This window comes from Homo sapiens, chromosome 4 (genome assembly GCF_000001405.40).
Source record: "Homo sapiens chromosome 4, GRCh38.p14 Primary Assembly".
Classification (NCBI taxonomy): Eukaryota; Metazoa; Chordata; class Mammalia; order Primates; family Hominidae; genus Homo; species Homo sapiens.
In genome coordinates this window covers 81,621,220-81,645,488 of record NC_000004.12, presented here as the reverse complement: position 1 = coordinate 81,645,488, position 24,269 = coordinate 81,621,220, and the positions used below count along the sequence as shown (strand labels likewise).

At 39.1% G+C, this 24,269-nt stretch overlaps 1 annotated feature.

Annotated features, from left to right (window-relative positions):
- Positions 22,640-22,934: an enhancer, noted in NCBI's record as "tiled region #9952; HepG2 Activating DNase matched - State 3:PromF". NCBI's record gives its function as "activates a minimal TATA promoter and a strong SV40 promoter by Sharpr-MPRA in HepG2 cells {active_cell/tissue: HepG2}" and the evidence as "EXISTENCE:reporter gene assay evidence [ECO:0000049][PMID:27701403]".

Here is a 24,269-nt window from a genome sequence, read left to right as displayed (position 1 = left end):
TTGAACTGTAACTCCTATAATTCCCACATGTCATGGGAGGGACCCAGTGGAAGGTAATTGAATCATAGGGGTAGTTTCTTCACATGCTGTTCTTGTGATAGTGAATAAGTCTCATGAGATCTGATGGTTGTATAAATGGGAGTTCCCTTGCACAGGCTCTCTTGCCTGCCACCATGTAAGACATGACTTTACTCTTCATTCGTGTTCTGCCATGATTGTGAGGCCTTCCCAGCCATGTGTAACCATGAGTCAATTAAATGTCTTTTCTTTATAAATTACCCAAGCTTGGGTATGTCTTCATTAGCAGCATGAGAACAGACTAATACAATGGGCTTAAAAAGCTAATAAATTCTCTCCAAAGGAGAAAGCCACCATACTCCTCATAGGTATTCCATTCTCATGGACTCACAGTTTAGAAATTTATCTTTAACTCTTTTTTCTCTTGCCCACGTTCCTGCATTACTTTCTACAGAATGTTCAAAGATTATTTCCTAGACCCAGGTCTGCTTGGTTTCACTAACTTAATCTTCTCCTTTAGTCAGGTCATTCTCCTTGCTGGACCCAGCAGGTAATAATTTCATCCAAACTGGGCTTAGACAATAGGAGCAATTGTGTCACATGACAGGAAACCCAAGAGAGCAGTTATAGAGTTGATTCAGTGGCTCAATATCATTAATGGTGCTGGGGCAGCTTCTCTATAATTTTCTTGTGTCTCCTTCATGGTTCAAAGTGGCTACTATAACTCCAAGGATTATGTCCTTTCAGAATAGGGACCTAGTCCTAGGGAGGACAGACCCTTGTATATTGTTCCATTCATGATAGAGGAAAACCTTTCTCAGAGTCCATCAGTAGCCTTATCCTTTTGTGCCAGGATGGGTGCAGTTGTCCATGCCCTGGCTTCAAAGGCAATTGGGAGACTCTGTGGTGGGGGACGGGCTCTGCCATGTAGGAAAAAAGGAGGAAGGAATGGTTGTTTTGTAGGTATGTTAGTTTACTAGGGTTACCCTAGCAAAATACCACAGACTAAATGGCTTAAACAACAGAAATGTATTTTCTCACAGTTCTGGAGGCTGAAAGTCCAAGATTAAGATGCCAGCAGGGTTGGTTTCTTCTGAGACTTCTCTCCTTGGCTTGTGGGTGTTTCTCTTCTCACCCTATATGGTCATTCCTTTTTATACGGACACCAGTCAGATTGAATTAGGGCTCATGGCCTCATTTTAACTTAATCACCCATTTAAAGGAAATATCTTCACACGCAGTCACATTCTGAGGTACCAAGCATTAGAGCTTCAATGTATGAATTTTGAGAGGAGACCCAATTCAGTCCATAACAATAGGCAAACAGCTTTGCGTGTCATACAGAGACAGATTTCCTTCTACCCACCCTTGAACCTTTGTATGTGCCTTCCTTCCTATAGAGAATCACGTTCTTCTCTCTGGTTTTTAAAATACCCTCATTATCCAAAACGGATCCAAATGGGACTCCAGGAATCCCTGCCTTTACCTTTCCTCCTCTTCCCCAAGTACTTTGACTGAACTCTGCCTCCATTCATATGCATGCATCTTTATCATTGAAGATTTATTAGCCTAGGAAAATTTGATTAGAGCTGAACAAATTTATAGACAAATCATGACAAATCACACAGTATGAATGCTTGTTTAGACAAAACCTAGGTTTTAATTTCAGTGATCTTTGGCTGAAGTTGGGGAAAGCTTCATCATGCTGAGATGGGAATGTGATCTAAAGTCTACTAAAACCTGCATGTTAATTCATCAATGTTACATGTTGAAGTGGGAACTTGAGGAGAACTTGGAGTTCCATGTGCGATCTCCCAAAGCAACTTTAGAATATGAAGCTGGAAAATGAGTCTTTAGTTCAAAGGGAGAATTGATAGGACACTTTTTTGTATAGTGTTGGATTCCTGATCAGAAGATTCTCAGCAGGCCGGGCGTGGTGGCTCATGCCTGTAATCCCAGCATTTTGAGAGGCTGAGGCACACAGATCACTTGAGCTCAGGAATTTGACACCAGCCTGGGCAACTTGGTGAAACACCATCTCTACAAAAAATAAAAAATTAGCCGGGCATGGTGGCACTCACCTGTAGTCCCAGCTACTTGGGAGGCTGAGGTGGGAGGATCACCTGAATCCAGGAGGTTGAGGCTACCATATTCGCACCACTGCACTCCAGCCTGGGTAACAGAGCAAGACCTTATCTAAAAAAAAAAAAAAAAAAAAAATTTCAACAGAATTATGGTCACATGCTATATGCTTCCTCCTTTCTACCTGTCCTCCTTATACTGTGCTAGTATGGAGATAGGAGAGTCGCAAATTCAAGATGCAAAAAGCTCTTCTACTTTTATAGTGGCAACCATGCTTCAATTTGATTTTCAGCTGTATGTTTAACTTCTTAGTCTTCTACAAAAAGAGTATATTTCTCAGGGGCAAGATCTGAAGTCCCTTATTGATACAATCCTCTTGCATATGGAATTCTTATTTGTCACAGCTTCTCTTGGTAACTTTTAAAAATTGACTATTGCAAGGTTATTTTGAATCTGGAAGTTTTTAAAGAAAATAAGAGACTGTGACTATGTGAGCCTGCTTATTAAGGCATCATGCTTTCAAGTCCCCTCTGCCGGTGCAAAGGTCTTTTTATCTCTGATCAGTGGTGGACTTCAAAGAAAGGGACATATTTTGCACATCTTCCCTTTCTGCCAGTTCCTTTCTATGCAGCTTTTATTGAAAGGAAGCCAGCACACACCTACGCACATGACATGCACACAAAATAACAGGTTTCTCGGGCCAGGGCCTTCAAAGGCTAGCCCCCAACCCAGTGATGTTCTGATTTGTGAAAATTGCCTTTCACATCAACAGCACTTTGTTGTCAGGCTCATAAGAAAAACAAAGTGCCAGAAGTTTTTTTTTTTTTTTTTTTATGTTTGAATGATTCACTATTTTATAACATGCACACGTGCTTTTTAAATTTAAAATCAACAGAGGCCTATCAACTCTAATACATTGTGATAAGCTCTAAATGATTGGCACAAATAATGGACAATAGGAACATGAAGCGAGACACCATCAGTTCTGCCTGATAAAAGAAGAATCATAGATGAGGTAAGAAAGAAGGAAGCCTTGAAAGATGAATAGAGCAGAATCTTCCTAGATTGAAGGGTAGGGAAATCTGGGCAAAGGCAGCAACACGGAGGAGTGAAAATGATGGGTCTTTTGAAGGAATGACCTTTCTAGTGGCAAGAAGTTAGAGGCACCAGGACAAAGGTGAGTAGACAAGATTTCAGAGAGAGGAACACACTCACAAGTTAGGTTTTAAAGGATGCAGGGTACTGGGAAGTCAAAAAAGGGAAAATAGATGGCATAACAAAGTATACAGGAAAAGGTCTTGGCACTAATATTTTACACAATTGGAAGGACTGTAGACCAATACTTGTAAAGTAGTTAGAGAACAAGCAAAAGTATTGTAATATCATGTGCCCAGCTCAACTGTCTAAACTGTAAATGCATACTTAGATGCAGAGTTTGTTCTGAGGTTGGCAAGTTTAAAGAAGTCTTCCTGGAGTGGGTAGAGATGGGACAAGGTCTGACAGGTTAGGAGACTTGAACCGTAAGAGGAAAGGAGAAGGCATTCTCCCTGAGCAAAATCTTAACAGAAGGATTAGCATTGTGGGAAGAGAGGTATATATGAAAGACAATAGAGATTAGCCCAGTAATTATGAGGGAGGTTTAAGTTGTAGTCAATTGGTTTATTTCAGTGCTTCTCAACCTTGACTGCACATTGGAATCTTTTAGGGAGGCTTAAAAATACTGATGCCTGGGTCCCACCCCTAAGGATTCTAAATTAACTGGTCTGGAGTGTGGCTTGGCAACAAGATTTTTAATAGCTCTAGAGTACAGCCAGATTTTGAGGGTATATTAGGGAGAACCACATATTCAAAGCCAAGGAATTTAGATTTGGTTCCATAGGCATTGCCTATTCTTAAGTGATGGAGACATGGAATGGAAGTGATCTGTAAGAAAGAGAGAGCAAGCTAGTAATGGAAAGTGGATTGGAGAGAGGTGGAGCTCCTGGAAATGAGTGGGACTAGAAATCCATAGAGAAATCTTGGCATGAGTTTTCAGAGCAACAGGATAGCATGGTAAAGGAAAAGGAGGGCAGGCCCCAAAGATGCATTAAAGAATCATCCTAAGAACCTGATAAAACAGACAGCATGATTTAGCAGAAAGAATGGGGATTCTGGAGGTGGATGGATTTGGGTTTGAATTTCAGCTTTGCCCAGCTTCCAGCGTGATGACCTGGGCAAGCACTCTAACTCCTCCTTTAAATGGGATCTCCATGCTGGAAATAGAGATAATAATACTGACCTTGCAGAGGTGTGGTAAAGAATAAATGAGATCATGTATAAAAGTACCTGGCTGGCGTGGAGTAAGTATTCAGTAAAAGCAATCTATGTTTTCATTCCTATAGAGAATAAAAAAGCTGACTGGTTAAGAACATCCACTTTGCAGACTAGTGATCTAAGCCTAGCTCAGCCCCTTGATAATTGTACACTACGGATAAAGGGGACAATTTCTCTAATCATAAATTTTCCCATCTGTAAAATGGGAATAATATTCCCTACCTCATAGGGCTCCTAGGATCGTGCTAGGTACATAATACACACTCCTTAAATGTTTGTCAAATAAAATATTTAAAGAATCAAGAGTTTTGAGAATAATAGAAAACACACAATACTTATTGTGTGCCAGCCAATATTCTCAGTGCTCTCTATATATCAGCTCCTTTAATCGTCACAAACCCGTTAATATGATACTCCAACTATCCCTGTTTTATAGATACAGAAACTGAGTTCAGTAACTTGCTCAAGGTCACACAATTGGTTTATAGTGGTCCAAGACTGTTTGGCTTCAGTTCCTACTGTTAACCACTGCTTCACACATAGTGTCTAGCTTATAGTAAGCACTAAATTTGTTATTAACACATTTCATATACACAATTACTGTTATTGGTATTTAGGGAACAAAGGAGAAACAAGCATGGTGGTGCCATCTATAGAAATAGGAGAAAGAGATGAGAGGACAGAAAATCATAATTCTTCAGGAAACTCTCCCATATTAGGCCTTGCTCAAGAGCATTCTTATTTCCCTTAAGCCCATTCTAAAACTAGACTTCTAAGTGAAAGAATTTCTCAGACACCCAATTTTCTAAGCTAGAGTTCCTCTTGAGAACCTGCGTTAACCTAACCTCAGTAGGACATAGAGTCACTGAGACAGGGCTGTTGTGCATGGCTGTTCATATCGTTCACTATGCAACTGCACGCCCCATCCACACCATGATCTATGACAACCCCTGGAGTTTTGCTGTGCCCGACTTGCAAGATCATACTCTTCCTGGGCAGGGCCAACTACGTAATTTGCTGAGCCTCGTGCAAAATGAAAATGCAAGAACTCCACATTCAAAGGGCAGGGAAAAAGTGCCAGTAAAGGCACTCATATTTTAAATGTTTAAAACTTTTTCCTTTCTTCCACGTTCTCTCCCTCATCATAATGTTTTATTATTACTATTATTTAGTGTTGCAATCCCTTGGGCATGGGAATGAAGGGCAGTTACAGAGCCTCACAGGTGCCCAGGGATCCCACCCTGCAACTCAGCTCACCAGTTGCCAGGTTTCCTCTCTCTCCAGATGCCAGGCCCGCCAAGAGGCTGTGTCCTGGCAGAAAGCTGGGGGTTGAGGGGTGGGAGGAGTCAATCTTCCCTTCCCATGGACCTGCTGTCCCAAGCTACAGTGACTGGTAGCCCCAAGGGGATTGCATCCTTCAAACCAGGACATGCCAGGTACCTGGATCCAGGTGGGTGAGAGACTTACCTCCACTCCCCTCTCCTCCTGGCCTATCCCCTCCCCCACCCCCTGCTGCCACCCACCAAGCATGCATGGTACTGCCAGTCTGGAGAGGAGATGGCAATAACCACACCCTGTGCTGGGAGTCCAGGGCCCACAGGCTCGATCAGGATCTGCCCTGTACCCATGCCTAGTCCTTGCAGGAACAAAGGGTGACAGCAGTCACTGGGCAGGGTGGGGAGGGGCAGCCAGCAGGGCTTGGGCAGAGATAGACATTGGCAGTTAGTTTGGAGTCCCTTTAATATAACATGTATGAATACAGCCAGCCTGTATGCTCTCCCAATATAAACCAATTGATACATTCAAGTTTTCATATATTTTCAAACTAAGACCCTGAACCCATTAGCAATCCCTTCTTATTTCCCCAACAATCTCCCCCGACCCCAGCCCTAGGAAACCACGAATCTACTTTCCATTTCTATGTATTTTCCTATTCTGGGCATTGTTTACCACATTGAAGTTTTGGTGTGGACATGTTTTTATTTCTCTAGGGGTCTAACTGCTGGGTCATTTGGTAACTCTGTGTTGAATATTTTGTTTGCCACAGCATCTGTGCTACTTTACATTCTTACCACCAATGTATGAGGGTCTCAATTTCTCCACATCTCCAAGCTAGAGTTCTCTTTGACAACCTGAGTTAACCTAACCTCACTAGGACATAGAGTAACTGAGACAGAGCTATTGTATATGGCTGTTCATATTGCTTGCTTGCTTTTCTTAGGCATGGTTAGCCACAAAACCTATCATCAGTTCAACTGGGTTATGTATTAAGAAATGCATGCATTTCTTTCTTTTCTTTTCTTTTCTTTTTCTTTTTTTTGAGATGGAGTCTCGCTCTGTCACCTAGGCTAGAGTGCAGTGGTGTGATCTTGGCTCACTGCAACCTCTGCTTCCTGGGTTCCAGTGATTCTCCTGCCTCAGCCTCCTGAGTAGATGGGATTACAGGCTCATGCCACCATGCCCAGCTAATTTTTGTATTTTTAGTAAAGACGATGTTTTACCATGTTGGCCAGGTTGGTCTTGAACTCCTGACCTCAAATGGTCCATCTGCCTCAGCCTCCCAAAGTGCTGGGATTACAGGTGTGAACCACCGCGCCCAGCCAGGAAGGCATACATTTCTTAATTGCTAACATTTATTGTTATCCTTGTTTTTGATTATGGCCATCCTACAAAGGTGTGATGGGTGTAATGTGGTACCTTGTTGTAGTTTTGATTTGCATTTTTCTAATAGCTAATAACATGGGACATCTTTTCATGTCCTTACTAACCATTTGTAAATCTTTCAAATCTTCTGTTTAAATTCTAAGCCCATTTTACATATATATGTAAAATATTATATAATTTAATATATATAAAATTAAGTGTAAAATATATATAAATATATATTCAATTAAAAGTAAAATAATATGTATTATAATATATATCTATATATTATAATACATATTATTTTACTTTTAATTGAATATATATTTATATATTATATATAATATATTAATATATAATATGTATTATATATAATATAAATATGTATTATATATTATATATTATATCTATATTATATATAGATATAATATATAATATATCTAATATATATTAGATATAATATATAATTATATTATATATATTAGCCAGTGCTTTGGGGGGCTGAGACAGGGGGATCGCTTGAGCCCAGGAGTTTGAGGCTGCAGTGAAATATGATCGTGCCACTGCACTCCGGCCTAGGTGACAAAGCAAGACCCTGACTCTAATATATAGATATATATATAGATATATATTATATCGATATTATTATATTAATATTATATATTAATATCTATATATTATAGATGTAGATATTAATATCTATATATTAATATATAGATATATATTATATCTATAGTATTATAATATATATTATATAATTATATATTATATATTATATTATATAATATATTATATAATATATAATATATATTATTATATAATATATATTTTATATTATATTATATTTTATAATAATTATATTATATATTATATAATATTATGTAATATATATTATATTATATAATATTATGTAATATATATTATATTATATAATATTATGTAATATATATTATATTATATAATATTATGTAATTTATATTATATTATATATAATATAATATAATATTGTATGATATATAATACAATATTATATTATATTATATATAATATAATTATATATTATAATTATATATTATATATTATATTATATAATATAATATATAATATATAATTATATAATATATATTATAATACTATAGATATAATATATATCTATAATATATAGATATTAATATATAATATTAATATAATATCGATATAATATATATCTATATATATATCTATATATTAGAGTCAGGGTCTTGCTTTGTCACCTAGGCCGGAGTGCAGTGGCACGATCATATTTCACTGCAGCCTCAAACTCCTGGGCTCAAGCGATCCCCCTGTCTCAGCCTCCCAAAGCACTGGCTAAGCCCATATTTTAATTGGGGTATCTTTCTTTATTTTATTGAGTTGTAAGAGTTCTTCATATATTCTAGATATAAATCTATTATCAGATATGTAACATGCAAATTTTCCCCCATTTTGTGAGTCATCTTTTTCATTTTCTTGTTGATGTCCTTTGAAGCATAAAAATTTTTAATTTTGATGCAGTCTAATTTATCTATTTTTTTCTTTTGTTGCACTTGCTTTTGGTATTATATTTAAGACCTCACTTAACCCAAAATCACTGAAGATTTACTTCTGTGCTTTCTTCTATGAGTTTTATAATTTTCTTTCTTACATTTAGGTCTATGGTCCTTTTGGGGTTAATTTTCATCTATCATGTGAGAAAGGGGTCCAGTTTCATTCTTTTGCATATAGATATGCACCATTTGTTGAAAAAAAAACTATTATTTCCCCCATGGAATTGTTTTGGTACCCTTGTCAAAAATTAACGTCTAGCCTTATGCTGCCTTATCTTGAGAGAAATGCCTTATCATGAGAAAATGACTCAAGTTTGGGAAATCTACTGATTTTGTCAGATTTATTTTATTTGAGTGTTTTACAGACATAAAGGAATTAGAAATAGCTTCCTAAATCATTCATTCTTTTCTAACCTTAATGCAATTCAGTTAGAACAAAACCTGGGTCCAGTGGGGTCCCCAACCCTCAAAACCCTCTAGCCAACTTGATGAGAAAGAATGTTGTGGGTTTTATGAGAAAAAACAATCAGGAAATAATATTTCTTGAGTAATGCTTTTGGCATTTAACATTAAAGCAAACTAGTTTATTACTTTGGAGTCAACGACTCAGGCAAATTTTTATAGGATTTTATAGATTCTCCACATAATCATTACATTGTAGTGGTGCCTACAACATGCCAGGGACACTAAACATGTGCATGTCTGGATCCATTGATTATTAATTTTCCCCTCCAATCCTTACCACAATCCTAAGAAGTGAATATTGATTTCCCTGTCTTACACATAAGGAAACAAAGGTTGTGTAACTTGCCCAAGGTCATCCACCTTGTAAGTGGCTGAGATGGAATTTGAACTCAGGTTTGTCCGAATTTCAAGTTTAACGTGTTGCAGTTTGCCTTTACAGACGTATCACCAGCCTTGTATACCAGCTTTTCTTTTGCACAGTGCTTTCACTTCCTCATTCTTACAGAGGCTGTGTTCCCTGCCACGTGGGGTGAGCCAATGGGCTGAAGAAGCATGAGGAAAAGGAGACTCGGGTATGGCAGGTGGCTGTGTGGAGAGGACACTTGGTAAGAATGCTGCCAAGTTGCAGGTGTAAATGATCCGTGAGATAAATGAGAAGCCTTCCCCTGTACGACTGCTTTTCATCAAGCAGAAATGATTGAAAAGATTCTGGGTCAAAGAATTTACCTAAGTTTATTTTTATAGAAATTTTGTGTTTTAGAGCCAGAAAAATATTTAATCTGACTCAACTAGGAAACCTGTACTCATAAATAGATTCTCCTGAACATAATCAAAATGATAATTTCCTCCTCTGGGCTCAACCAGCCCTGGTTGCCCTACTGCAATTATCATCTCTCTGCCAGTCTACTATGCTATTTCATTTTGTCAATCCATACTAATTTTCAGGCAGTGCAAGGAGTTGTGTGTGTGTGTGTGTGTGTGTGTGTGTATGTGTTTCCCTGCAGCTCAAATCATCTCTGTCTCCAGAGGAAAGCATGACTGCTGTAAGTCAAATTGAATTTGCAATTCCCAGGATAGCCTTTATCACTGTTGTGCAAACACTGTCCTCTTAAAAACCTGTCTGAGGGATAGCATTTGATACCTGTGCATCATCTGACTCCATGAGGCCAGTGTTGAAAATCTTGCTGTCCTTCTCATCAGGCCAGTTGAAGTATGGCCTAGTCATAGTGTAAAATGGCTGTTCTTTTCCTCTGGAGCATTTCCTACATATGCTGCTTATCAATAGGAGTGGGTCATCACTAAACAAAAGAAATGAGCAGGCAGAGGGAGGGGATTGTCAGTGTTCCCTGGAGGTTGAACATTTTAAGTGTGTACATAAGTGTGCCCAGTTATGACAGAGTCACTTCCTGTCCTGAATCCCCTCCACAAACACAGGACAATGTCATGAGGTGTATGATGTAGATAATCACATGGTGTGTTGCAGCAACATATTTAGAGCTTATCATCAAGAGGACTTTTGAAATAGGCAGGTGAAGACTCCATTTCCGTTGTCCAGAAAGAGATGATGAGAGTGAAATTTCAGCATCATAGCCTATGTGCTGTCAACATGGATGTAATAAGCTTTTGATAATTTACAGGCTATTTTTCTGCTCAGTGAATGATTTAGGGCCTTTTATTCTGTGATTGACAGGGCTTCTTTCACAAGGCGGGCATGGGGAGGGGAAATGACCATTTTCCAACTCATTTCCAGTGTTGCTGAAGAACTTCTTGTGGGGTGTAGAGTATAATCCCCAATAGCTGGGACGCCCTGGGATGATTTTTGGATAAAAGTATATTTGACATGTCAGTATCACCCTATTCCTTGCAGTTGGCACTTGCAATTCCCAAGGCTACCATGGGAATTGCAAAATTTTTTTAAAAAAATATGAGATTGGAATTTCCATTTCTGTGCCCTAAACATGAGATATAATAGCAACATCCAGGTCACTGTGATTAAAGATCTCACCCCACGTTTGATGCCGTAGTCCAGGTTCTGCTTTTTGAGACTGGCTCTTCCTCTTGTTTCCCTTAGTTTGCACTCTTTCTGCTTCCACCTACCTCTCAGACACACCCACAGCCTCCTTTGCTAATTCCGAATTTTTCCACTCAGCTTCATGATGGAGGAGCTACCTTGAGATCTATAGTCACCCCACTTCTCGGCTCCATTCTCTTCCTCAGAGCTATTCCATCCACTCCTTTGTCCTCACTCACATGTAAATCTGTTAGTGCCAGAGCTGAATAGCTCACTACCTACTAGGTGTCAACCTAGAAACATCCAGCAGACATCTTAGACTTAACTAGTTGAAAATCAAACTAAATACTGTTCCCTTCCTTTTTCTGCCGTACTCAGGTCTCCAGTTCCCAGAGTTGCTCATCATCAGTAAGAATTTCCATGTATCACATAAATTGCTTCACCTTCTTTGAAAAGAAATCTGGAAGACTTAGTTATAATGAAAAGTATGTATACTGGCCAGACACAGTGACTCACGTCTGTAATCCCAGCACTTTGGGAGGCCGAAGCAGGTGGATCATTTGAGGTCAGGAGTTCGAGACCAGCCTGGCCAACATGGTGAAACCCTGTCTCTACTAAAAATACAAAAACTAGCTGGGCGTGGTGGCAGGCACCTATAATCCCAGCTACTCATGAGGCTGAGGCAGGAGAACCATTTGAACCCAGGAGGCAGAGGTTGCAGTGAGCTGAGATCACGCCACTGCACTCCAGCTTGGGTGATGGAGTGAGACTCTGTCTCAAAAAACAAAAAAAAAGTACCTATACCTTTTAACCCAGCGATCCTATTTTTAGACTCTATCTTATTGAATTCAAAGCACCTCTCTATATAAAGATATATTTGTAAGGATGCTTATTGTTAGTGATAGAAAACTGGGAACAACCTGAATTCCCATCAGAGCAGAATAGATGACAATGAATTATGGCCATCTTGCAGCTCTTCAGTGTGAAAACGCATCTATGATATATTCTGAAGTGAATAAAGCAGCTTGCAAATTAATATGTACATCATCCCGTTATTATAAAAACAAAAATAACAAAAAACTCTACCTGTGTATATGTGTTTGTGTGTTTGAATGGACATGGGAATGGTGGAATAATCAGCTGACTTAATGTTATTTCCCAGGGTGGGGTGTGGTGGGGATGAACGAGCACGTGTTGCCTTTGTAATATTTGAAAAAAAAATTTAATTGCTCATCATTCCATATTTCTTGCTAGTCACTCAAGTAGGAATCTTAGCATCACGTTAGACTCCTCCTTCCCCCTTTCTTTTGCCAATGATTCATTGTTTCTGTGTCTCAATCCTTCACCGGACTGTAAAGGCATTGAGGGCGAGGCCTGTGTATGGTAATGTTGTCTCCTGCCTAGTACCTTGCACATTTCTTTCAACATACGGTTATTGACTTGAAATAAAGATTTTAATGTGTGATTTATCCAGTTTTCTATTATACGGATATCTCTTGGTTTTTATTTCTAATACAGAGGGATGCCAGTGCTTTTGCCAAAATCCTCAAATCATATACCACCCTCCCCCACCTGCTGTGGAAAATGTGGCCTTGGGATATGCAATATTACATCATGTACTCTTCCATCCCAGGTTGAGTTACTTAGTCTTCTCCTACACATATTTTTACCCACCTCTGCATCCTGCTTTCAGTGTCACTTAGAGTCCTTTGGATAAGAGGCAGCCAAATGGGGTAAATGGGCTAACCGTCTCTGAAGGCCTGTGTGCATATGTGCACTGAAGTAAGCATAGAACGGTACCTGTGTCAAATACATGATGAAGAAGTTGGCCAAACATCCAGGTATTTCCTGAGGTCAAATATTTGGCAATGTGAAACAGACATTTTAAAACCAATTTCTAAATTTTGTCTCCTCTATATTAAAGATTAAATAGGGAACTCAATCTAGGGAATCTTTCACCACACCTGTGGCTTTCTTCATATACGTACACCCACACACGTGCGCAAACACGCTGCTGCATTGCACTTTACTTGAATTTCAATTTGCTGAATCATGATTTAACTGGCTTTGCTCCTATGGCTTTCCAGGACTGATGGCTAATGTCTGAGTTGCCTGAAAGGGGAGTGGCAGCTGTTTGGTCAGATTTGATGGATGAATTGCTCCACTGATCTTTCTACCAGTTCTGCATGCACTGTTTCATCCTGCATTCCAGAGCTTTGACCAAATTCTGATACAGAGATCTGTGATTGGCCATCCTCAGTTTGTTGGATTGCACAGCACATTGAATAACCAGGCATGATGTCATTTTCATGCAAAGTAACAGCAACACATGATCTCTTAAACCAGGTTGAGTTAAATCATCAAGCTGCTATTTATATCCCTAGCACTTCTCAGGCTAAGAGTGCAACAGCATAGCAGCAGGTATCAATTACAATCCTCATTTGTTCTTGGAAGTAGCTAATAGGGGAAGTAAGAGCTGTTCCTTATCCACAAGATCCCTGCTTGTAAGAGAGAGAATTTGGCATCCCATTGGGTAATATAAACTTCAAAAACAGTAAGAAATGAGTAGTTAAAAATAGTTGACTGGAAACCTATTGTGGTTCCTAAAGAATGCTACCCTTTGTGATGTTCTCTATATATAGTTATGAGGTTCTAGGCTGAACATAGTCAACAGACAGAATTTTATTCAGGAGTTATGCTTCTTGAAACTGCTCTCTCTGTATTTTGCATTTTTTAAGAGTTGATGTCAAGCTAGTAACACTTAAGGGGTTTCCTTTTCCTATATTGGTAGTGAGTTCTAAATATGGCCTTCTCACTCCAATCAGTTGGCTACTCTGATTTAAGTCAAACCACTGAAAACATATTCTTATACAGCTTGCCTCTTTACTGAGCCCTCCTCTCCTACCACCCTTCTCTCCAAATAAACAGGAAAAGCAACCCCAAGCAACAAAATATCTGTTGAATAAGCATCATCTCCTAGCATCAGAAGTTAGTGGGAGCTTTGCCCAGGGAGAGGAATTAGAAATCAGCCTATAAAAATAAATGAATCTGTTTCCATAGTGATGGGAATCTTTCTCTCCATAGTTTTTAATCCTGTGTTCTCCCACAGATCCCTTAGGCAGAATAACAATAAAGTCAAAGACAACATTTTATTATCTTAATGGATCCTTAATTTAAAGCCAAAAGCCTTTAAATTATCTTCCCAAAGATACCATTGACCGTAACTTTTGGAATTGGATACCTGAACATCGTTGCAGGAGGAATATCATCTCCTAGAACCCTAGCCAAGCAGGAGGGATGAAATGAGGAAGACCTCGTGGGTTACACATGCATTTTGCATGCAGCATTTCCCGATGAGTAACACAACTGTCATGTTTAATATTTCATTGGTGAAGAAAATGTGCATCTGTCTGTGTTCATCTGCCGAGTGAAATTTTGCACTGATGGAGCCTGTGTGTGGTGAACACGACAGGGCTCCCTCATTACTTCCCTAAATTCTATTCCACAGCAAACAGGAGAAATCCATACCAGCAACAAAGCCCGAGCCACTGCTCCTTACCCACCAGCCAGCTTCAGGGGGTCCTTCACCTTTGTTTCTGCAGCTACGACTAGGCCTGCCTCTGCCATCACATGAAGAAGGCTCAGAGAGGCCCAGCAGCTGTGGTTTCAGAAGTATGGCTGCAGAGACAAAGGACCCAGAAGAATAAATTCCTGGGCAGAATTGTCCTAGGATGCAGGTGAGGAACTGGGAGCCCCATGAGGAATACCGAGCTGGTGGAAATGTCCTCTACATACATGGCAAACTCATAAAGCAGGTGGTCCATGTGTGGAATTATGCAAATGACATGAATAGGAATTATTTCAAGATTGTTGCAAAACTGAATGTGAAAGGGCTCAATAAATATCTTTGATTTTCCACGAGAAGTCATCTCAATGGGAAAAAATGTCTTGACTCTCTTAATTCCATATAAGCATGAATATATGTCACAGTTTTCTTGGAAAAAATTGAGAGTTTCATGCCTGTTGCCCAGGATAACTTTTTTGTTTTTCGAGATGGAGTCTCGCTTTGTCACCCAGGCTAGAGTGCAGTGGCGCGATCTCGGCTCACTGCAACCTCCACTTCCGGGATTCATGCGGTTCTTCTGCCTCAGCCTCCTGAGTAGCTGGCATTACAGGTGTGCACCACGATGCCCGGCTTTTTTTTTTTTTTAATGGAGTCTCGCTCTGTCACCCTGGCTGGAGTGCAGTGGTGCGATCTTGGCACACTGCAGCCTCCGCCTCCCGGGTTCAAGCGATTCTGCTTCCTCAGCCTCCTGAGTAGCTGGGATTACAGGTGCATGCCACCACATCCGGCCTATTTTTTGTATTTTTTAGCAGAGATGAGGTTTTACTATGTTGGCCAGGCTGGTCTCCAGCTCCTGAACTCAAGTGATCTGCCTGCCTTGGCCTCCCAAAGTACTGGGATTACAGGCATGAGCCACCACACCTGGCCCCTAGGATAACTTTTAATGCCACCCTTTTCCATTCTCACAAGCATCTCAAAGGTTTGAATGATAAATGCTAAGGCCACCCTACTTACAGTGCAACATTGCAGGTCCATTCTTCCACCACTGCTATTTTCTCTTTCTATGTCTTTCGGTAAATACACATGCTGTTTCAAGACAGATTTGTGTGACTTTCCGATAATGGAGCAGTTGCCAGGTATAGACCCTTTCAAACTAAAGATAAGTGGAGCCATGAAGACATTTTTCTCAAGATGAAAAGTAGAGAATGAAGGCGTTCCTTCTTTCTTATGGTGTAATACCAAAGTTATGTAATAATAACCCATTAATTAGTTTGTCACGCTAGATGTGAGGTTCTTGAGGACAAAGGGAGAATATTACTTATCTTTCTATTGTCATGGGCAATTTATAGGCATGTAGCTGCAGTTGTAAATGAATGAATATAGCAATATATAAGGAGAGGGTTTATTTGAGCCTAATACCAAATAAACTTTGGAGGAGAGGGGTTGAGTATTAATACATAGCAGTGGGATAGATGAGGCAGGAAAAAAGAATTTTGGAGACTGTCATTTTTTTCTCTTTTCATCATTTAACTTTTTCCTAATTATAAAATATTACATTTGCATTGTGGAAAATTTAGAAAGAGAAATGGAAGAAGAAGAAAAAGAAGAAGAGGAGGAGGGGCAGGGAGAAGGAGAAGAAAGAGAAAGTGAAGGAGAACAAGAAGGAAAAAAATCACTCACTTCCCGGAATAATCATAATTCACTTTCTGTGGTATAGATGTCTTGTGTTTGTCACTCGTATTCACATATGTGTCAATGTGTGCCTGTATAGTCACATGATTTTTGGAATACAGTATCTTATTAGGATCACTGTAGTTATCAGCAAGCTGTTTCATAAAGTGCAGCTTTAGAATCAAGTGGAGAATTTATGTGAGTACCCCAAGTGGTGGGGGAGAAACTTGAAGAAATAGTGGGGATTATTTTTATTTTATTTGGGCTGAAGAATGTTCTTTCCAAGGATATTCTGCCTTTGACAGAGTCATTCGTCTCTAGGATCAAGTGAATACAGTAGGAACACTGAACTTGGAATCAGAAGATTGCTACATATATTCTGAATTAATCATTTACTTGTTGTCTGACCCTGGGTTAGTTTTTTAACCACTTCAAACGTCAGTTTTATCACTGTGGAAGTATCTATTCTTACCACATAACATCAATGTGAGACTCAAATGAAATCTGAAACATACTTGATAGTATCTAGAACATAGTCAGTAGGTGGTGGCTGATATAAACAGAGGTAGATATATTCTTTACAGTTCCTTATGGAATGGTGTTGATGGGGAAAACATAAGGTTTGGGACATGAAGATGGTTTGAGATTGTGTTTAGCCCACAAACGATGTGATTATGAAGCAATTCATTTAACTTATTTTGAGCCTTAGTCTCCTCATCAACTACTTGAAATCATTTCTATAATGAAATGTTAATGTAACAAATTTTACATAATAATGATGTTAGTTTTCTTACTGGGAAAGTTGGAAGCAGAAGGAAGAAGAGAAGAGGGAGGCGAAAAGAGAATATTCCATAATGCTATTCTGAAAGATAGATGAGAAAATGACATTTTATTACTAAATATCATCTCTCAAATCATGTACCTTCAAATTGAGGCTATATTTCTGTTGTTTTCAACCAGGGCTATAGGCCACAATCACTGAAAGAGTTAAAACAAACAAACAAACAAATAAACACGATGCCTGAGACCCAGTTGAATGAGAATCTCTGAGTGGTTGGGCTGGATATCATGATTTTAAAAGCTCTCAAGACCATTGTCATGGGCTGCCAAGGTTGAGAGCTGCTATGTGTCCATGCCTCCAAAGGAAGCTATTGGTGAGAAGCATGACTGATTTTTACAACTCAGGGGGCTTAGACAGGAAACTTGTTGATACCGCATGTTGGCAGGAAGATGGAAAAGCTGGGAATGGACTGATCAGAGCTGGTGGAGCCAACCTATCAATGGAAAGCAGCTTCCTCCAAAGTTACAGGGTGCTTTAAAGCGTAGAGTTCAAAGGCAGTTGTGTGCTCAGCTCAGCAGGGAAGGAAGGCCCCTATGAATTTCAGAGGTATAGGATCATTGCAATTCTGGGCATTCCTCCCATGTCTGGATGACTGCAGCACCCCCCTCCCTGGCTCCCTGTCTCTAGTCTTAACCCTCTCCAAGCTGTTTTCCACACAGTCTAGCAGTTTTTCTATTCTAGTATAACAGATTACCACAAGCACAGTGGCATAAAGAAACACCCATTTGTTAGCTCACATTTCTGTAGGCAAGGAGTAGCTGGATCTCTGCTCAGGGTCTCACTAGGTTGAAATCATGGTGTTGCTTGACTGTGGTCTCAGCTGGAACTTGGGATTCACTTCCAGGCTCATTCAGGCTGCTGGCAGATTTCAATTCCTTTCCATTGTAGGACTGAGGTGCCATTCCCTTGCTGGTTGTTAGCCAGGGGCCCTCTCATTTCCTACAGGCCATTCCCATTGCTTGTCACATGGCCCCAGCCAGCAATGGAGAATCGTACTTATATCCAATTTATCAAAAGAGCTCAGGCTGGGTGCGGTGGCTCACACCTGTAATTCTAGCACTTTGGGAGGCCAAGGCTGGTGGATCACTTGAGGTCAGGAGTTCGAGACGAGCCTGACCAACGTGGTGAGACCTCATCTTTACTGAGGCAGGAGACTCGCTTGAACCCAGGAGGTGAGGTGGGGGTTGCCGTAAGCTGAGATTGCACCACTGCACCCCAGCCCAGATGACAGAGAGAGCCTGTCTAAAAAAAAAAAGAAAGAAAGAAAGCTCAGTCCCTTTTAAGGGCTCACCTGATTAGGTCAGGCTCACCAAGGATAATCTCCCTATCTTAAAGTCAACTGATTTATGACCTTAATTACATCTGCAAAAATCTCTTCTATACACACACACACACACACACACACATATATACACACACACACACACATATACACACATACATATATATCTCAATTATATAATATATACTAACATACTAATATGTACTATATATAATATACACTAATAATATATAATATATACTAATATCCTATATAATACATATTATATATAATATATGTACTAATATGATATCTAATATATATCAATTATATCATAATATATGTTATGTTATGTTATGTTATGTTATGTTATGTTATGTTATATATTAGTGTTTACTTCAATAACCGAGAGAAGATATGGGTACACTTGGGCTGGGAATTTGAGGAACTATCTTAGAATTTTGCCTACCATATAGTCCTAATATATGCTTAAAACTTTTCAGTGGATGCTCTTCGCCTGCTGAATAAAGCCCATGTTCCTTAGCATGGCATCTAATACTGCATAATCTGGCTTATGTATCTACACTTGTCTCTAATTACTGTGTCCCTGCATCTCATTTCAACTACACTATATGTGCACCAATTTGTTCATATTTTTGTGGCTTTGTATACTATTTTGTTTCTTGATTTTGAGCTTTAGCTAATGCTATTTCCTGTGCTTAGAATGCCTTTCCTATCTGTATTCACATGAAAAACTGTTTGTGACCCAGCACAGCTTCATCTCCTCTAGGGACCTTTCTCTGGATTTATTCATTCACTAAGCAAATATTTACTGAGCACCTACTACGTACTGTCCTAGGCACTGGAGATATAGTAGTTAATCTGACGAAGTTGCTCTGTCTTGCAGAGTTCACCTTTTAGTTGGGAAAACAAGCAAAACACAAAAATAACTACACAATTTGTCAAATGGTGATAGTGCTATGAAAAAGAATAAAACAAAATAAAGAAAGAGGCAGAAAATGATGGGCAAGTTGTCATTTTATAAACCATCAACCTGTAATGCTTCTGTCATAGGTGACATTTAAGCAGAGACCTGAAGGAAGGCAGGGAGTAAACAGAAATATGAGGCAGAGCCTCAGGGGCTTTGCCCTTGCTGTTTCATTTTTTCTCCATTATTTGCTGAATGGATGAATGGGAAAGGGGGTGCAGGGAGTGTTCTAGGCAGAAGGAACAGGAAGGGCAAAGGCTCTGAGGCAGGAAGTCCTTCAATGCTCAGCTAATGAACATTAGGGATATATATTGATTTAGTACTGTAATTAGAACTGAAACTAGAAAGCTCTTGTGGTACAACTCTAGGGAATAATAAAGTACACTCGTCCGCCTTCTTTCTCTCTTTTCTTCTATTTCTGGTTCCACCACCCAGTGTCAGATTTGTTTTCCTTTCTTTGCTCTGAGGCTTTTTCTGCTTACTTACAGTGTCTATTGCTTCATGATTTTGCATTTCATGTGCCTTGCTATGAACCCAACTCTGCTTCATGGTGCTTTTTCTTCAGCTTTAATTTATACTACCAACTGGTATAGTCTGCCTGCATAATTAAATTCAAATTTAGGAGACAGAGAACTTAGTTATCCCAGCTCATCTTTCTTTTTTTTTTTTTTTTTTTTTTTTTTGAGATGGAGTTTCACTTTTGTTGCCCAGGCTAAAGTGCAGTGGTACCATTTCAGCTCACTGCGACCTCCACCTCCCAGGTTCAAGCGAGTCTCCTGCCTCAGCCTCCCGAGTAGCTAGGATTACAGGCATGCACCCCCACGCCCAACTAATTTTGTATTTTTAGTAGAGACGGGGTTTCACTATGTTGGTCAGGCTGGTCTTGAACCCCTGACCTCAGGTGATCTGCCCACCTCGGCCTCCCAAATTGCTGGGATTACAGGCATAAGCCACCATGCCTGGCCCTCATCTTTCTTTTAATACCAGCAAGCCAAAGGATTAGCTTGGCTCAGATGGTGACATTAGTGTAATTACCTGAACCCTGGATGAGGGTGAGAGGAGGGAAGAAAAGAAAAGGAATTGTGTTTTTAAAATATGGCTGCTTAGCTATCGGGGTTAGAGTGGACAAAAGTCCCTCGAAAGACAGTTTGGGTGAGCAGACACCAAATGACTTCTCTAATTCAGGAAATGAGACACATTCTTCAGGAAGATTGAAGGTTTACTGGGGAGCTTAACTGTCAGCACTAAGTACCAAGAATCAAGAGTAGCTTGTGGAAAAAAATAGAACCAATATTCAGGAGTGCAGCGAAGACAAGTTTGGAACAGGAGAAGGCAGTGAGCAGTTGGGGAAGGAGTCAAAGAAATATCACCAATGGAAGCTGATCTGTTTTCTTTTCAGAGGCTAGTATCTGCCACTACTTTATTGGGCAATGAAGGAAATAGGGCAAATTCTCAAGGCCATATACATATAAAGAGATGTATTAGACTAATCCAGGAGAAAAACTGCAGGGAAGCTGAGTGTTATTACAATGACAGTATGTTCTGGTCCTCATTCACTGAAGACTTACTTGGTGCCAGGCACTGTCATAGATATCAGGAATATGTCAATCCTTCCCTGCCCTAGACACTCCCTATCCCCCTTCCCTGATTTATCTTTGTTTCTCGAACTTTTACTTTCTGAAATACTACCAATTACACTTACTGATGTTTTATGTCACCCCTCGAATCTGAGTTCCATGGAGTCTAAGCTCCATGAGGGCGAGACATTTTCTGTTTTGTTCAGTGTTGTATTTGCAGCATCTAGAAAATGCCTTGTTCAGTCATTACTTGTTGAACAAATGAATGAATTGCATTATTTATCTGAGTTACTTGCACAGAACTGAAGAGATATCACATTTATGTCAAAAGGTGTCTGAAAACTAAATAATGATAATTACATGAATGTTATTGCACATGTAAGAACAGCACTTAAGGCAAATTTTTTTTTTCATTAAATTAAAGGAAAACAACTACACTCAAAGGTAAAGATGTAGTCATTGGCCCACTCAAGTGATTCAGTCAAGACTTACTGGTCTGCCATGAAAATTTGTACCTGAACCAGTACCTTTCAACACTCACTTCCTTTTCCCTCATTGAAAGGGAATTTGTTTTTAGCCCCTAAAATCTCAGTAGCTTAACTCAATACAACATATGCAATGCTGGGTTGCAGGAGGTTGCAGGAAGTCCTGTTTTTGTGAAGTTGCTCCAGCAGAGTCCATCTTTCTGAACAGAGATGTTCATGTGGACCTGATCCCCGGAGGCCCATTAAGCAAGACAAGCAAGTGCACCTATCTTCTAAAAACAACAGATTCTGGCTTTTTTTTTTTTATCTTATTATGAAGGAAATTCCATCATATCAGCCCAGCCACTGACCTTGAACACTCAGGCCTGGCAGGAGGAGCTGTGCACGGTGTCAACAGGCCCAATTTTTATAAATTCACTCTGTTCCTCATGGTGAATTTATAAATTCCTCATGGAGCAGGGTGAATTTATAAAATGTTTGCAGGCAGTAGTTGTAAAAGTAGGCAGTGCCAGGAAACAATTAAGACATTTCCTATTTCTCTCAAAATTTTTAAATTATAATTTCTGGGTAGACTAATTGACAAATTGGCTCATATAAGGAAAAGAAGTTTACTTAGACTATTAAGAAAGAATATTAAGCATTATAAAATTTCATTCTTTTTCATTATTATAAATATATGTCCACTATAAGTTTTCAAAAGAAAATACAGAAATGCACACAGAACGCAATTCAGCAACAAGGACTCAAAAAATATTTTCACTCACTTGTTTTTTACAAGGCAGAATGGTAGGTGCTAGGGATACAGCAGCAAGGAAAACATAGACTTCTTGCCCCCATGGAATACTATTCAGAGATCATAACTGTTAAACAGTTAAATGTGAAATTGAAATCAGTGTCTTTTGACTTGACTCCTGATTGTAAAGAACAGGGACCTTCTTTTATTTGCACACACACATTTAACTTTAGGACATTGAAGCAAATGGGCATGGCCATAGCTTACAGCTACTTTGGGTGTAGCCTATTCTCAAATCAAAGTCACTCTCAGAGTGCATCAGACCTTCCAAATCAAGACACATGCATTGGAATGATATCATAGGCTATGAAAAGCAAATAAACAGCTGCATCTGCAACATGTTTTTTACTAAATTAACATAATTCTTAGCTATATTTCAAATGTGTGGATGCCACCCATAGAAAATCAGCAGGCAAGTGAATCCTCTCAGTTTATTATAAAGTTTAATATTAAGCTAAATTCTTGACTGATGGTAAAACTAACATTGACATTAGCTAGATTCCAACTTTCAGGCAAAACAAATAGGTTTCACAGAGACCAGAGTTCATGTTCAGCCAAAAGCAGGGGAATCTCCTGTGTAAAAGTTGGTAAAATAACTCTTCCTTACTCTGTGAATTCTGTCATAATACTTTCTGTTACACTCTCATTTATTTGGTGGTTGGTACTAGAACTTCTCAATTCTTATCAGGTCAAGTAGAGTCCAGATATAGACCAAATGTAATAATAAATTAAAGTGGATCAACTTTTGTTTTTATTTTTTAAACTATTTATATGCGTATACTAATATTAACAGATAAATTGTAAAGTTAGAAAGAGAATGCTAAGAAGAATATAATGGCTGTGTTGTCATGTCTTGTTTGTATTTTTAGCTTTTCTCTAAGAGTTTAAGTCAAGAGGATCATTCAATACATTGGGGAATGGGAATTAGAAGGTAGCTGATTCAGGGAAACTAAATACCAGGTTGGAGACACCTTTGGCGGTGAGGACACCTAAATACCAGGTTCCGGATCCACAGTGCTGACTCATTCTCTGAGTTTCTTAGCTGAGTTTTTTTTTTCTTTCTTTTTTTTTTTTTTTTTTAATTTCAGAGCCTAAATGGATTGTTCTCCATCGAGAGCTGAATTCTACCTCAATCTGTCTTTAGCTATTGAGTGAATTTTCATGGTTCAGAAATCATCTTTTTAAAATTATGATTATAAATTAAATGCTAGGGACACTCAAAAAGAGTAGACTGTCCGTTCAGAATATTGAGGATTGGAAAGAGTGTTACTTGAATTACTGGGGTGTACTTTTTCCTGGTGCTGCGCAACTGGGCTTTGCATCCGCTGAGTATCTGCCCTTCTCCAGAAGAGGCTGCCTTTCTCTGACAGTGGGAAGGTATTTCCTTGCCTGTGAATATGACTGAGGATGAAGTATATTAAGATATTCAGGCTCACCTGGTGTCATTCATGAAGGAGTCAGCTGCCCACATTCTGAAGACTTAAAGTGGCACTCCTGGAAGTAGCAGCTGGTGTGCATGTGGCTGCTAAACACTCACATCAGCCTAAACTGCAAAAATAGAAAGTACCAACACCAAAAATTAGCTTTGCATTTGGATGGAGGGCACAGTTTTCACTTCTCTTTAAGGCTGATTAATTATACAATTTACATGTAGCAATCACTTGTAAATTATAAGCAGCAGGCAACAGATGATACTGTAACTGTCGCTCAATAGTAATTTTTAGAGAGAGGCTTTCAAAATAGAATTGGTTTATCAAACAATGTAATTAAACAGGCTTCAAAAAGAAAATATTTAAACTCTCCTTATTGCCCTACTTTACCCTTTCCTATTTGGCCGAGGGAAGTCCTTTCTTAGGGGTTGTAACTATTGATTTCCAGGTGGATTCCAATGTTGCCCTTTGATGTAACATGACTTTATAGGTGCTACATGATATGCAAAAATGACCTTAGTGTGTTCCAAATCTAGTAAGTTTTAAAATTTTTCTTTTTTA